The sequence below is a fragment of the Homo sapiens genome, chromosome 4, assembly GCF_000001405.40.
Source record: "Homo sapiens chromosome 4, GRCh38.p14 Primary Assembly".
In the NCBI taxonomy this organism is placed as follows: domain Eukaryota; kingdom Metazoa; phylum Chordata; class Mammalia; order Primates; family Hominidae; genus Homo; species Homo sapiens.
The window spans coordinates 174665374-174679549 of NC_000004.12; the positions used below are offsets into that span (position 1 = coordinate 174665374).

Consider the following 14176-nt stretch of genomic DNA (forward strand, 5'->3'; position numbering starts at 1 on the left):
GCATCTCAGCATCCCACTTCCACTTTTTTCAAAGGTCACTCATTACAACAATAATTATATTTATTTTTGTGGTAGATCCTGTAAGATGTCTGCTGGCTAGCACCACTTGAATGCCCCACCATCAGTTAATTACTCTATCCTGCAAGTTTTAAGTGCTTTCCACTTTCCAAAAACTTTGATTAGAAGGATGCAAAAATTAGTATGTCCATGAAGATTTGAAGATGAGATGTCTATCCTAATATGTTAACAAAATATGTATTGATAGCAAATACCAAATAACTCCATTGTATCATTGATTTCGTCTCACTGTACTGACATTATCCACTTATGTATCTTCTGCTTTTAGGCTGTTACATTCCATGAGCTAAGACAAAGGCCAGACCTTATGCATTTTTGTATCTCTAGGATGCAGCACAAGGTTCTTTATGGTAAAGGCTCTCAGTTGGGTTGACTCCTGTGTATTGACTTGTAATCACTGGCCATTTATTATTAGAGAAATAATTATATTAACTAATATGCCAGGAAATGCTCTTCATACAGTAGTGTTCATATGGTAACACTTAATCCCCACAACAATAGAGGGAATCATCCTTATTTTAAAGATGAGGAAACAGTTGCAGTGAAATAACTTGCTTAAGGCCACATGGCTACCAAGTTGCAAAACTAGGATTTGAATATAACTCATATGGTTCCAGAGCTTATGAACTTAACTACTATTCTATATCACCTAGTTATTAGGCTGCTTCCATTTAAGATACTACTGCAAATCAACAACTGTAAACAATGTAAATTGGAATTCCTCTCTGTATCTTAAAATTCCAGGCTCTATAAATTTCATCTGATATTTAAGAGTAATGTCAGTGCACAAAATACATACTGTAAGATCCTCCATATTTGCTAGCTTTGATCCTAAAATCTGACAGTCAACTTCCTAGTAGACAACGTATGAAAAGAAATGGTCATTATATTTACTAGATGAAAACAAACTAGTTGCCCAGGTGAAGCAAAACTATTAAGATAAGAGAAATATTTTATCCTACAAAATACCATGTATGTCCCCCAGCAGTAGTAAATATACTAAAGTTGTTTATGAGCCAGGAGACAGGAGGCTATTGTTTACTTGCCATGTAACAATCCAGGAAGAGATCAGCTTGATAAATGATCAATAGAGTACACAAGCTAGGTTATTGCAAGGACTAGTCTTTTTCATTCTAAAAAAAGTTTTATAATTTAGGAAAAGGAATATAAGCACCATATGGTCTGTAGATTTCTTACACTTTTTTCCCCAAGAAATTATGCAGTTTTTCTTTTTTGCAAAATTATCATTAGAAATAGAGAAAGCCTGCCTCTTGCATCTCAAATAAGAATATATATATATATATATATTATATATATATATATATATATAATTGGATTTTATTGCTGTCAGTCATCTTGGTTATTAAACACAGAATCAAGTCACTTTGGCTCTGAGAAGCAGTCATGTTCAGGGAGCTTGCCTAACCATGAGATTTCTCCGTATCTACCCCTCCAGTGACATGAGGGGTTTGTCATAGGGAGGATTCAAGCTAGGATACAATGCAAGTAGCAAACAACCACAAAATTTCACTGGCTTGAAGAAACAAAGGTATATTTTGCTCTCATACTGCATGTCTACTTTGAGTCGAATGCTGACCCTGAAATGGTGTTGTCATTGCTATCCTCACTTGTAACACAGCAGCAGAGGAAAACCAAGTCGCTGGTGGTTCTCACATTTGGTCATAAATGTTCCAGACTGGTAGTGGCACAGGTTGTTTCTGCTCAAAGTTCATTAGCCAGAACTACTCACAGTCAACCCTGATCACAAGAGCACTAGGAGATGTAATCCTACCACATGCCTAGAGGGGAAAGTGGCCTTCGTGGCACAGAGCATTATGATAACTCCAGAGAAAGTCAGGAGGGCGATTTCTATTTGTCCTTCTGAAACAAGAATCCTCATAAGCACAGAATTGAGGAACCTGTGGATTATGATCTGATCACTGTGATATCTTGAATAGCACATAAAGGCAGCTTTGTTAAAGAGAAAAACTCACTGCTTTATGGAAAGAAGCTGTCAATTAATTAGGGTATGACAAAGAATAAGAAATGTCCCCTGATTTTCTGCCAAAAATTTCATAAAACGATAGTGTCAGGTCCAAATTCAGTAATATGAATTGTAAGGAGGTACAAAAAAGTAGAGTCCAGGTAGTGCTTTGAAGCACTAACTTAACCTAAGACAGATAATCAATTCTCTAGTTGCAGAGAGTAAAGACAGGCAGTCTGCAAGCCAAATTTATGTATGAGAATAAGTTTGTTTGGACTGCACAATATCTTAAAAAAGAAAAAGAATATGCTTCTAAGCACGGAATGCTCATCATCAGTTAACCATACTGCTCATCCCTCTTCCCTTCATTAATTATACCAGACCACTTTGTTCATTTATTTGTGCAACTGACCCCTGAAGTCATTTGACTTTGTGCTCTTTGATCCTGATATGGTTTGGATCTGTGCCCCCACCCAAAACTCCTGTTGAATTGTAATACCTGGTGTTGGAGGTGGGGCTTGGTGGGAGGTAGTTCCATCGTGGGGTTGGTTTCTAATGGTTTGGCACCATCCCTCTAGTGCTGTCTTGTGACAGAGTTCTCGTGAGATCTGGTTGTTTAAAAGTGTGTGGCACCTTCCCTTTCAATCTTCTTCCTCCTGCTCCAGCCATGTAAGAAGTGCTTACTTCCCCTTCACCTTCCACTATGATTGTAAGTTTCCTGAGGCCCCCCAGAAACAGAAGCCTGGATAGCCCATAGAATCATGAGCCAATTAATCCTCTTTTCTTTATAAATTACCCAGTCTCAGGTAGTTCTTTATAGCAATGTGAAAAATGGACTAAAACAAGTCCAGAGAAATAGATGGTTTGCATATATCTCAGGTAATCCTTCATAACTACGTTTACTTTTGCACGAACTTTTGATAGGATTATTGAATAGCAGTAATTTTGGATCATATTCCTTAACAAGTACATTGAGTGAGCTGTATTATAACTACGGCAGTATATGCTATGGTTGAGAGACCTGCCGAGATGTATGCCTTTACTTCAGTCCACATGGAGGTGGTCAAAAGGATTTTCCTGTGACCAATAAATTCCTGTTACAGCTTATAGACAACAATATATTAATGGGCAAAGATATATTTGATGTGGCTAGCTAAATTATAACCCAGATGACCATTAATCAATGGATTCTAGAAATAGAAATTTAAATGTATTTATAAACAGCATAGTTTAAACTTAAGAAAAAGAAATTGATTAAACCAGAACCTGGAGTTTGAATCACAAAATCTCATCTACACCTACGTGTAGGAACTCTATAAGGTAAATTTCCAGGGATCCCTTAAGAGAGATAGTTTGTCAATTCTTTTCTCAATCCAAACTTGCTTTTTATTTGAGAAAAAAGTGTAATAAAACATCACAGTGTATGCTTTTGATGAGCTAAAATAGCCCTTTGAATAGGGTAATTGGTTCTTCCTTTAATAACATTCAATCCTGGTGGATTGCCCTAGTTCCTCAGAAATGTCAAGTAAACTGTGATGAGTACTTTTGGCTGTGCGATGGGCAAGTGATTGAAGCCTACAGATAACTGCTTTTTCTCTGAGATATGCCGAAAATGTCTCTGCTTGTGTTATGCCTTGTTTTGTGAGGTTTTAATTTCAGATCTCATTGACTATTCATTTAATCATTCATTTTTAAAATACAAATTTGTAGTACCCTTAATCCTACATTTCTCCTTAGTGCAAGAACCTGTATAAGAATTTTACATTTTGTAACAGGAAAAAATAATATTAATCTCAAAAGCATTTCAAACTTCATTAAGACCTAAAGCCAGCGAGCAAGGAATCTGGACAAAAGAAAATAATAAATAATGTTTTAAAGACAGGTGTTGAAGTGGAATGAAGCTGATACTGAAAAGGCAAAAGGAGGTAACTCAAGGACTACTTTCTCGGAGCATGAATAACTAGGCAATGAAACTTACGGCCCAGGATATTGTGAGTTTCGACATTCTGACATTTATTATCCTGGAGGGTGACTCACAACAGTCTTGCTGGTGGAATGTTCATGCTGATTATCATAGTCATAACCCTCAGTAAATGAATGATGCTTCTAACACAATATTTATTTTTCACATAAGGGATTTTTGTTTTGTTTTGTTTTTGTGAAAGGGTTTTTCTCTGTCACCCAGGCTGAAGTGCAGTGGTGTAATCATAACTCACTGCAGCCTCAAGTTCCTGGGCTCAAGCAATTCTCCTGCCTCAGCCTCCCAAGCAGCTAGGACTATGGGTGTGTGTTACCACACTTTGCTAATTAAAAAAGAAATGTGGAGACAAGAGTCTCACTATGTTGCTCAGGCTAGCCTTGAACTCCTGGCCTCAAGCGATCCTCCCACCTCAGCCTCCCAAAGTGCTGGGATTACAGGTGTGAGCCACTCACGTAATGGTTTTTACTTCATGAGATAAAATACAACAGAGAATCACATAATAACAAAACTTCATTGTTTCCAAAGAGGTGAATTTAACCAATACTTTCGTCACCAGACAAGGAAAGTACAACCAAAAAGACTAAAGAATTTTGAAAAGACACAGTTATCTCTGACTCCCACTTCAGTAACTGGAGTTTTACCATCATTTTTTCTGTAGGATGTAGCTCTTTTTCTTATATTTAACACTGATATGAAATTGTCAAATCTAGATGTCACTGAAAATGCTTCTTAGGTGCATGCCGTTAGACTTCCTGGCATTTCTTAATATATTACCTTTTTTTGATCTACTCAGGCTAAATTATAATTGTGACCTCTCTTTTCTTCATTTTTGTAGTGAAGGTTTTGTGCTTCTATAGCATCATTTTTATTGTAATCATATAAGTTCCTATTCCCTTTTCCTCTGGAGTTCAAGAGCTTCATTTAAAACTTCAAATAGGAATCATGGAGACAGATAAAGCCTGTAAAGGTGTTTGTTTTACTCTGATTTTGGGGCAAAGTGCTTTCTTTCACTGGCGAAGTGGTAGTTTTACATTCACTTTTATCTTTTGGGGACTCAGGGTACGATTCTAGGATATATATGAACGTGGTGGATGACATTGTTTACGTAGTCTCCAAATTGCAAACATATCTTTGTTTTTAAACTTAGTTTGATGTCAAAGCTGTGGTATCATGCCATTTTAAAACAGTTTTAAAGTTTATGATTCGGCCATATACTTTCCCTAGTTCTATCAGATTTAAGAATTTATGTAGCAGCCCTGTCTCTATCTCAAGTACAGAGAAAATGCTTGATAATCATTAATTTTTCAGCTTGATGGAATCTAATATTTCTAGTAAAGTAGGTCCTAAGTAGGTCCTTGATGAAATCTAGTAAGTCTAGTAAAGGAGGTCCTAAGATGAAATGTAGAACTAGAGATATCCATCAATTTCTATCCTTCTTATCATAGAATCCACCCATTTTTAGGACTTTTTTATTTACAAAACAGATAATTTTTTTTATCAGTAATAAAATTGGATGGTATTCATATACATTATATCTTGTGATAAGGGTATGAATAAATAATTATTTCATTTTCTGGGCCTTTTTTCTTTTTCCCCTTTTTTCTAAATTAATGTATATGGAATCATATTAGCTAGTATGATCCATGAACATTTAAAAAATTTAGTTGAATATGTTGCTTATATCAAACACTGTATCATAAAGTTAAATTTATTACACATTCTGTCACAGTAATAAACTTAAAATGAACTCACTTGGATCATGTTTGTACTGAACTTGATTGAAGTAACATTAGTTAACTACATTTTCAGTAAATATTAAAATGTTATGTTTAAATGGTTTGGACCAAAATATTACTGACAATAATAACTATTAATTGCTATATTAATAGGAAAACCTGATTACTATGTAGCTCTCCTGACCCCATTACATTATCACTAACACAATGTACTCTCCTTTAAAATTTAAGGGTTTTTTTTTAGAAGAATAAGACTGCGTATTTGCTAATTAGCTATGAACACAACAGTGAATATAAATCCTTCATTTTTCTTCCCATTTCCTATCCTTTTATTGTAATCAACCACACATAGATATCTGTGTGCCAACACAATTGTGGTGTTCAAAAAATGTATCAGTTCAATTTATATTTTCTAATAGTTATAATCATTTTTAAAATTGGTGTTATGAAGAATGAAAACTTAATATAATATAAAAGCTATCCTCATTATTTTTCTTATTTTTTATTATTTTTTTGAGACAGAGTCTCATTCTGTCACCCAGGCTGGAGTGCAGTGGTGCAATCTCAGCTCACTGCAACCTCTGCCTCCCGGGTTTAAGTGATTCTGGTGCCTCAGCCTCTAGAGTAGCTGGGATTACAGATGCCCGCCACCACGCCCAGCTAATTTTTGTATTTTTTAGTAGAGACGGGGTTTTGCCATGTTGGCTAGGCTGTTCTGAAACTCCTAGCCTCAAGTGATCCACCCGCTTCTGCCTCCCAAAGTGCTGGGATTACAGATGTGAGCCACCGTGCCCAGACGCTATCTCTGAAAATGAGGACAGTTTCACAGAGAAATTGAAAGGGAAAAAATGAGTGGAATTGAGAAAGGTAAAAGGTTCTAAGTAATCATTGACCATAAACAGTTTTTGGTGCAGAATTTGCAATCTCCACAGGCTACCAGCTTCTGAGCTTCTGTAAAATATTTTATCAAAAAGCCATATTTGAAATTTCAAGGACTCATTATTTTTTAATGTTTAGTAGCTGTTTTCAATGAGATGGCCATAGTGATGGGAGCAGAGAAGTCCACATAGAATCTCCCTAGGATACTTCCCTATTTCTTTCCTATCCCTTCCACCCCTCTTGTTTTTCTGAACATTTACTGACAAGCCAGAGCGTGGTCTAAGAAAGGAGACCGAAAACTTAAACAAATAATTTTCCCAAGGTAGATAAGATTATTTACAATTCCCTTTTTCTTTCTTCCTCTCCAAGTCTTCCCTGTGGGTGGAGTGCACTCTTCCACCCTATTGACTTTCGGTTTGGCCATGAGACTTGTATAATTTGTGGAATGAGAACAGAAGTGACTGTGTGCCAATTCTGAGCACAAGCCTTGCATGTTTCTGCTTGCCTTCTTGATCTCCAGCACTCCTCCATGGAAAGACCATGTTACAGGTCCCTGCAGCCCCAGAATGAGGACACAGAGGGAGCAGATCTGAAACCCACTCCACAGCCTAGATCCAAGCCCACTCGAACAGCCAATCTCAGGGCAAGCGCAGAAGAGATACAGGCACCTCACAGTCCTGTGAGCAAGAAGAAATGTTGTAAACCATTGAGATTCAGAAGTTGTTATGCAGGATAATTGCGATGTAACTGGATTATCAGCCCCAAGTGCCAAGAATCTCATAATATTAATATATTGTGTTAAGAGCTAGGGTTTGGATAAACTTGAATCTAGAGATTCCCCCACCCTGCCAAGTTTCTATCTGTGTATGTGAATGTGTGCGTTGTGTATAGTGTGTGTGCATGTGTGTGTGTGCATCTGTTTGATATGCTATGTTCAAAAGTCTCTGATATGATAATAAGTTTAAAAGACTAAAATAAGGTATGCATAGTGACACTTGTGTACTTCTGCAGATGATATGAAACATAAAACACACAACAGACCTGGTCCTTAGCCAGTCTCTATGAAACAGGATGAAAAAAAATGATGAGGGTAGGTCTCTAATAGGAATTAATTGATTGTTGAAATCATAAAATAAAGGGTAAGGTGTATATAATATTGCTGTATATTTCAAGATTTCTCCAGAGTTCCCTAATGTGGATTCCTTCTAGTACTCAGAGTTTACAAATTAAAATTATATTTTGTCTCTTCTACTGATTTTCTCTATTCTTACCCATCCCCATACTTAATTCCTTCAGTGCCAAGGTCTTAACTGAATATTGAAATCAAATTTATACTAAAAATAATTGAATTATTATTACTATCTCCTCTTTCAACCCTGATGAAATGAATCCTCCTAAGAAGGAGGATTTTCCATATCTAAAAAAAAGATTACAGAATGCTGAGATCTCAAAGAGTTTGGGAGTAAAGTTTTGGGGTGAGTGGGTCTTGCCTTTAACCAAACTGTCTAATATATTCTGTTTATGGGTAGGGATAGCCCCGGGAGGGGAACAGAGAGAGAAGATTTTCAGCTGGAGGAAGAGAGCCAAGCACAAATATATCTTCTTTCCCTGTCTTTCCAGGCTTTCTTCCACTAGAAAAATCACCTCTATTCCACTTCCCAATTCATTTGTAGTTTACACCCTAAAGTCTGAGGGCTGGATGTCTTTGGTCAGAACTTTGGAAGTTCTTAGTTTTTGACAATTCCATGTGATTGTCTTGTAAATGTCTCCAAGTTAACATGTTTTAGAAAAGAACCCACAATTAACCTTTCCCCTAACCTTCCCTATTAGTAACTATCATCTCTACTTGCCTAGTTACTTACTTGAATGCTACCCTTGACTCCTGCATTTCCCTGAATTTTCCATGTTCAATTCATAAGCAAATCCTGTCTGTTTTACTTCCAAATATATTTTTTCAGAAACATTTACTTCTTTCTAAAGCCATCTGCTACTCTCTAGCTCTGTTGCTACCAATCTTGCCAGATCATCATCTGCTGTGGACTACAATAGCTTGCTTGGTAGACTCCTTGCTCCCACTCTGCCTCTTCTATCTGGTCTTCAAACAGAAGTCAGTGTAATTGCTCCCCTTATTAAAATTCATCAGTGGCCCATTGCTGCACCCAAATTAAACCCAATCATTACCAAGGCCTATGAAGTCTTCCTTGATAGGCCCCATGATCATTACCATCTTTTCTCACTCTGCCCCAAGCACATGGTGTAAGAAAGTGCTCCTAAAGTTACACAACCTTGAAAATTTGCTGGGAATAGAATGCATATATCACCTTCTTATGGCCACCTGATACAGACACTGCAAAAATGTAAAAGAGTTCAAGTTTCAAGGAATCAATCACAGGAGTGTTCTTGCTTTGAGAGACTACATGCTTGAGTTATCATGACATTGTAGAGGCTGATGCAATAGAAAATATCAGAGAGGAATATCAGCTCTGTAGTTCTCTAGAAGCTGGCTAAAGTACATTCTTTGAGATTTCATTCTCTGAGTCTTACTTAAGCAATTTCTGAGCTCTTTCTTATCTTACAGGAGATGTATTGACACAGAGCCTAGACCAAACACTAGGCAAAGATCACAAAATTATGATTTATTGTTTCACTGTCCTATGTTTTATAGTCAATTTTCCTGAATGTAACTTTGTTTTCCTACTTCCTAGAAATTGTCAGTAGGTAAATTCTGGGTGTTTTAGTGGCAAGACTCTCAGACTTCTGAGGGTTCTTTTGTGAGATTGAGAACAGAAGATCTTAAGGTGCACGGTCTCACACATCTGTTTCTAAATGCAAGTTATAAAGCCCTCACCTCCTGTCTCTCTGGCCCAAAATAGTTGCAGAATCAGAATTGTACTTTTAAAGAGATTTTCTACTCTTTTGAATGGTCTCATCCAATAGATTAATTCTTTTGTTTATCCTGGGTCCTTGGGGTCTGCCCTACTAAAATTGAATGTAAGTAATTAATTATGCCAAACCTCCTATTCCTGACTTATCTTGAATTCTAAGATGATACAGTCAACTTCTTTTAAGGTATCACTTTCTCAATCAATTCCTTTTGTGGGTCAGAGTCACACCTGTCATCACATTTTTAGATGTCATTGTCTCTATGATCAGAGAGATAGACTTTGTACACATGTATGTGTATAGCTGAACTCATGGCTGAAAATTTATTTCTTCTGTAAGTTCTTGTGGAAATTAAAGCCTTTTAAAAATGTCTCCTATTTCTTGAGAAAAAAATACAAAGCAGTCCTAGACATTCTTCTTTTTTTTAAGTTGTGCCTCCATTCTGTGTTTTTAATTTATTGCTTGCTTTATTTCTGCATCCTCTACTCACATTTCCATGCTCCCCCAATTCTACCTTACTCTCTGTATCTAAACGTCTTTCTGTTGTGCCTTGTAGAAGCCATAGATTCTCCTTTTTCTGACTGACAGCATACAGACAAATGAGCTTTCATTTCTGTTTAGCTCATGAAGATCAGTGAGTAAACTGACGATTTCCTTTACAAATTAACTATGAAATTTCCACTATTACCCAGAGCTCTTGCAACGTTTATCCTTACGTAAATAAGCATTGAGTATTATTAGTTTACATTTATAAACAGATTTATAATTTTCACATGAAAAATATTTTAGAAAACACTAGTTGATGCGAACAATTTTGAAAATACAATTAATTGTTAATAAAAGTAGACATTATTAGGAAAGACAACCATTAACTTTTAGTGAGGCAGAGCATGTTAATATCATATTTTAATGATAAAATTCCTATTTTCAATTTTTATTTATATGGGCATTTCAATCTAATAAATTGAATCATAGAATGAACTAATAGAAAGGACTAAGGGAGCCATGACAATAGATTTATAATTTACTTGGTGTAGCAAGAAGATAGCATCAAATGCACACAAAAAAAGTTAATATGATTTTATTGCATTGAAGTACTTCATTTCAATGAAAGTAATAGTAAAGCTTCTTGGAAGCTATGCAGAATTACTTAATTTAGATGACAGAAACTTCTTCTTAGACGTCATTTTAGGGGAAGAAAATAATTTTCTATTTCTATGCAGCTAAATAAATGAAAAGAGTTTTATTTCACTATATCTTATGCAAAGCAATATTGGGTCTTTTACAAACCTCACAGAGGGAACAATTTTATTTTAATTCTGGCAGCTCAGCATGGATGAAAATCGTGGAATTAGATAAGGTCTCCTTCCTATTGACTTATGGTTACTTAAAAGCAAAAGGGAGAAAAAAACACAAAAATAATATATACCATATTGGGCTCAGGGTGCAGCACTATGGGCACTCTGATAAAATACTTGTAGTATAATTGGTATATTTCTTCTGGAAATAAATTTGGCAATACATATCAATGCATATGGCTATCACTGCAGCAATTCTGTTTATAAGAATATATGCTAAGAACATAATACAAAATATGTGTAAAGCTATGTGTGTGTATGTGTTTGTGTCTATATATGGATATATATGTGTGTTTCCATAAAATATGTGTGTTTATAAATATAGATGATATGTGTGATATGTATAGACACAGGCACACACACATATACATATATATTCATATATATAACATTTATTATAGTATCAGTCCTAAGAGTGACTAAGTAAATTATGGCATATCCATACAATGGAGTACTATGCCACCATTTAAAATTACCATGTAGATTCAACTTAAATGTTTAATATATTTCTAAATATTTTAAAACCTATTGATACAAATAATTCCATAGTGTATAAGAGTATTATTGATATTTAAATAATTGGGAATAATAACACAAAATGTGAATAGCGGATATCACTGGTTTGCAGAATTTTTTTCATTTATTTCTGTTTTACATGTTTTCTGCTTTGGTTATATATTACTTTAAAAACCAGTAATGCCATTGAAATGCCATTGAAAAATATCTGACCAAAGCTGACAATGATATCTTTGCAAGATTTATAAGTGTGTGTGCAAAGATGTGCATGCTCATTCAGTGCACTTACTTTTGGCAAGGAAGCTCGTGATCCTGAACTCTGTGTAGTCATCGTTAGCACAGTGGTTATCCCCAGAGCTACCCTGGCCGGTGCTGCATCCATGTTGATCCAGAATGAAACCCAGGATAGAATAACAATCAGGAGACTGGGAATGTACATCTGGATCAGATAGTATCCCATTTGTCGCTCCAGATGGAATCGCACTTCTATACACGTAAACTTTCCTAATTGGTGGTAAGGTAAATACAGCAATTAGTACAAATAGGTCTTTGTTACGGCATCAAATATCACAATTTCTCTTTTTTTTTTGAGACAGGGTCTCACTCTGTCCCCCAGGCTGGAGTGAAGTGGCATGATCTCAGCTCACTGTAGCCTGCGCCTCCTGGATTCAAGAGTTTCTCCTGCCTCAGCCTCCCAAGTAGCTGGGATTACAGGCATGCACCACCAAGCCCGGCTAATTTTTTTTTTTTTTGTAGAGATGTGGTTTCACCATGTTGGCCAGGCTGGTGTCGAATTCCTGACCTCAGGTAATCTGCCCACCTCAGCCTCCCAAAGTGTTGGGATTACAGGTGGGAGCCACTGCTCCCGGCCTCACAATTTCATTTTGATAAGGATTCTGTTATAAAACTTTCCATGACAATGAAAAGAGTCTCGTATTGATTCTTGAAAAAATATTTTTCACTGTTAGCATCAAGAAGCAATGTAGTAAAGAGAGCGTACTCTTTTAGGAAATAGTAGGAAACTTTATTACTTCCGACTTGAAAAGTGCTTTACACTTGTCAAGATATCCAAAGATTTATTATTTCACTTGATTACGACAATTGCTTCTGAGGCAGACAGGAGAAATATATACTTATTATATAAAGATCTTCTTTACTCATAGACTGTTTCTGGTGTTTTGAGTGCTTCTTTAGAGCCAGGTGCTATTTGTTGCAGAAGCCTTTCCATTTTCTTTAAAGTAAGTGCTAGAGGATAAACACAATTGAACACGAATTATTCCTTGAATAATAAAGCAAACAAATAGGAAAATATGTGTTATTTCCCATTAATAAATTTGAAAATAACTTAAAAACACACTAAAAACAAAGGGATCCATTTGTACTATACACTTATGCTTTTATGTCTCTATTATTTACCTCTATTTTGGTAAGCAATACATAGAGGAGTAAATGATGGTTTAATAAACATTAAGTCGATATTTTTTGCTTGTGTCCTGGTTCTACTCCCTACTCTATTGATATTGATTTATACTACTCTATGTTATCTCTCCTTTATAAAAATTGTTCTTCTAAATCACCCAGTTCTTGGTTTAATTGTTTTTATTTGAGTTATTTCAAGAAGGATGAGGTCAGAAAGTTAACATTCTGCTCTTTAAGTAACATTCTGTTACTTATGATGAAAGAAAGATGTTAAAGAGCAATTGCTGTCCTATTGCTAGGTAGGGCTCAGTGCAAAGCTTCTATTCATGTGACTTGGGCCGTGCGTGATTGCACAGGTGATGCACAGGCACTATATCTGGATGAACCCATGCATGTGTTTCCAGAGCTTAAGTCTCAACAAAAGTTCATAAAGTCCAGAAAACGTGGATTCCACTCTTAAGTGAATAGCAATCAGAAACATATGTGCAAACCATACATGATCCTTTTATTGATTTATCAAATATATACAAAATGCCTAAAGATTCCTGAAATATATGAAAATACTTTAGATTTTAAAGTGCTATTAAATATAAAGATTTAAATTTTGCTATGAGAAATAATGAAATGGAATAAAACAAGAATAACTGAAACATATTTATAATATCAGTTAAATAACTCACTAAGTAATCCCATAGCATAATTAGTAACAAATACTAACCATTCAGATACTTTGTATAAATTCTCTAAATTTCAGGTGATTCTCAAGGAAAAAAATAAGCTCCACTGTGTTTTTATTTAAAAAGAGTGTTTTTCAAAGTTCAAAATCACTAATCATCAGAAAAATGCAAATCAAAACCACAATAAGTGCAATCCCAGCACTTTGGGAGGCCGAGGCGGGAGAATCATGAGGTCAGGAGATGGAGACCAACCTGGCTAACCCGGTGCAACCCCGTCTCTACTAAAAATACAAAAAATTAGCCAGTCGTGGTGGTGGGCGCCTGTAGTCCCAGCTACTCAGGGGGCTGAGGCAGGAGAATGGTGTGAACCTGCTTGCAGTAAGCGGAGATCTTGCCACTACATTCCAGCCTGGGTGACAGAGCGAGACTCCAACTCAAAAAAACAAAACAAAACAAAGCAAAATAAGATATTATCTCACCCCAATGAAATAACTATTATCAAAAAGGCAGAAAATAACAAATGCTGATGAGGAAGCAGAGAAAGGGGAACACTTGTACACCATTGGTGGGAATATAGATTAGTCCAGCTACCGGAGAAAAGAGTATAGGAGTTCCTTTAAAAAGTAAAAATAAAGGTACCATATGGACTACGGGGTATATATCCA

The 14176-nt window shown here is 35.9% G+C and overlaps 1 protein-coding gene across 9 annotated transcripts in view; it reads right to left on the reverse strand.

Moving 5' to 3' along the window:
• GLRA3 (glycine receptor alpha 3) overlaps window positions 1–14176 on the reverse strand; it is a 192328-nt gene that overhangs the window by 28454 nt on the left and 149698 nt on the right. For all 9 annotated transcript variants that reach the window (XR_001741329.2, XM_047416196.1, XM_047416195.1 and 6 more), the window contains one exon: window positions 11705–11919. Coding sequence is in view for 8 of the 9 variants with exons in the window: in XM_047416196.1 (XP_047272152.1) it covers window positions 11705–11919 (215 nt within the window). In the remaining variant the exon portion in view is untranslated. The remainder of the gene's footprint in view (window positions 1–11704; window positions 11920–14176) is intronic.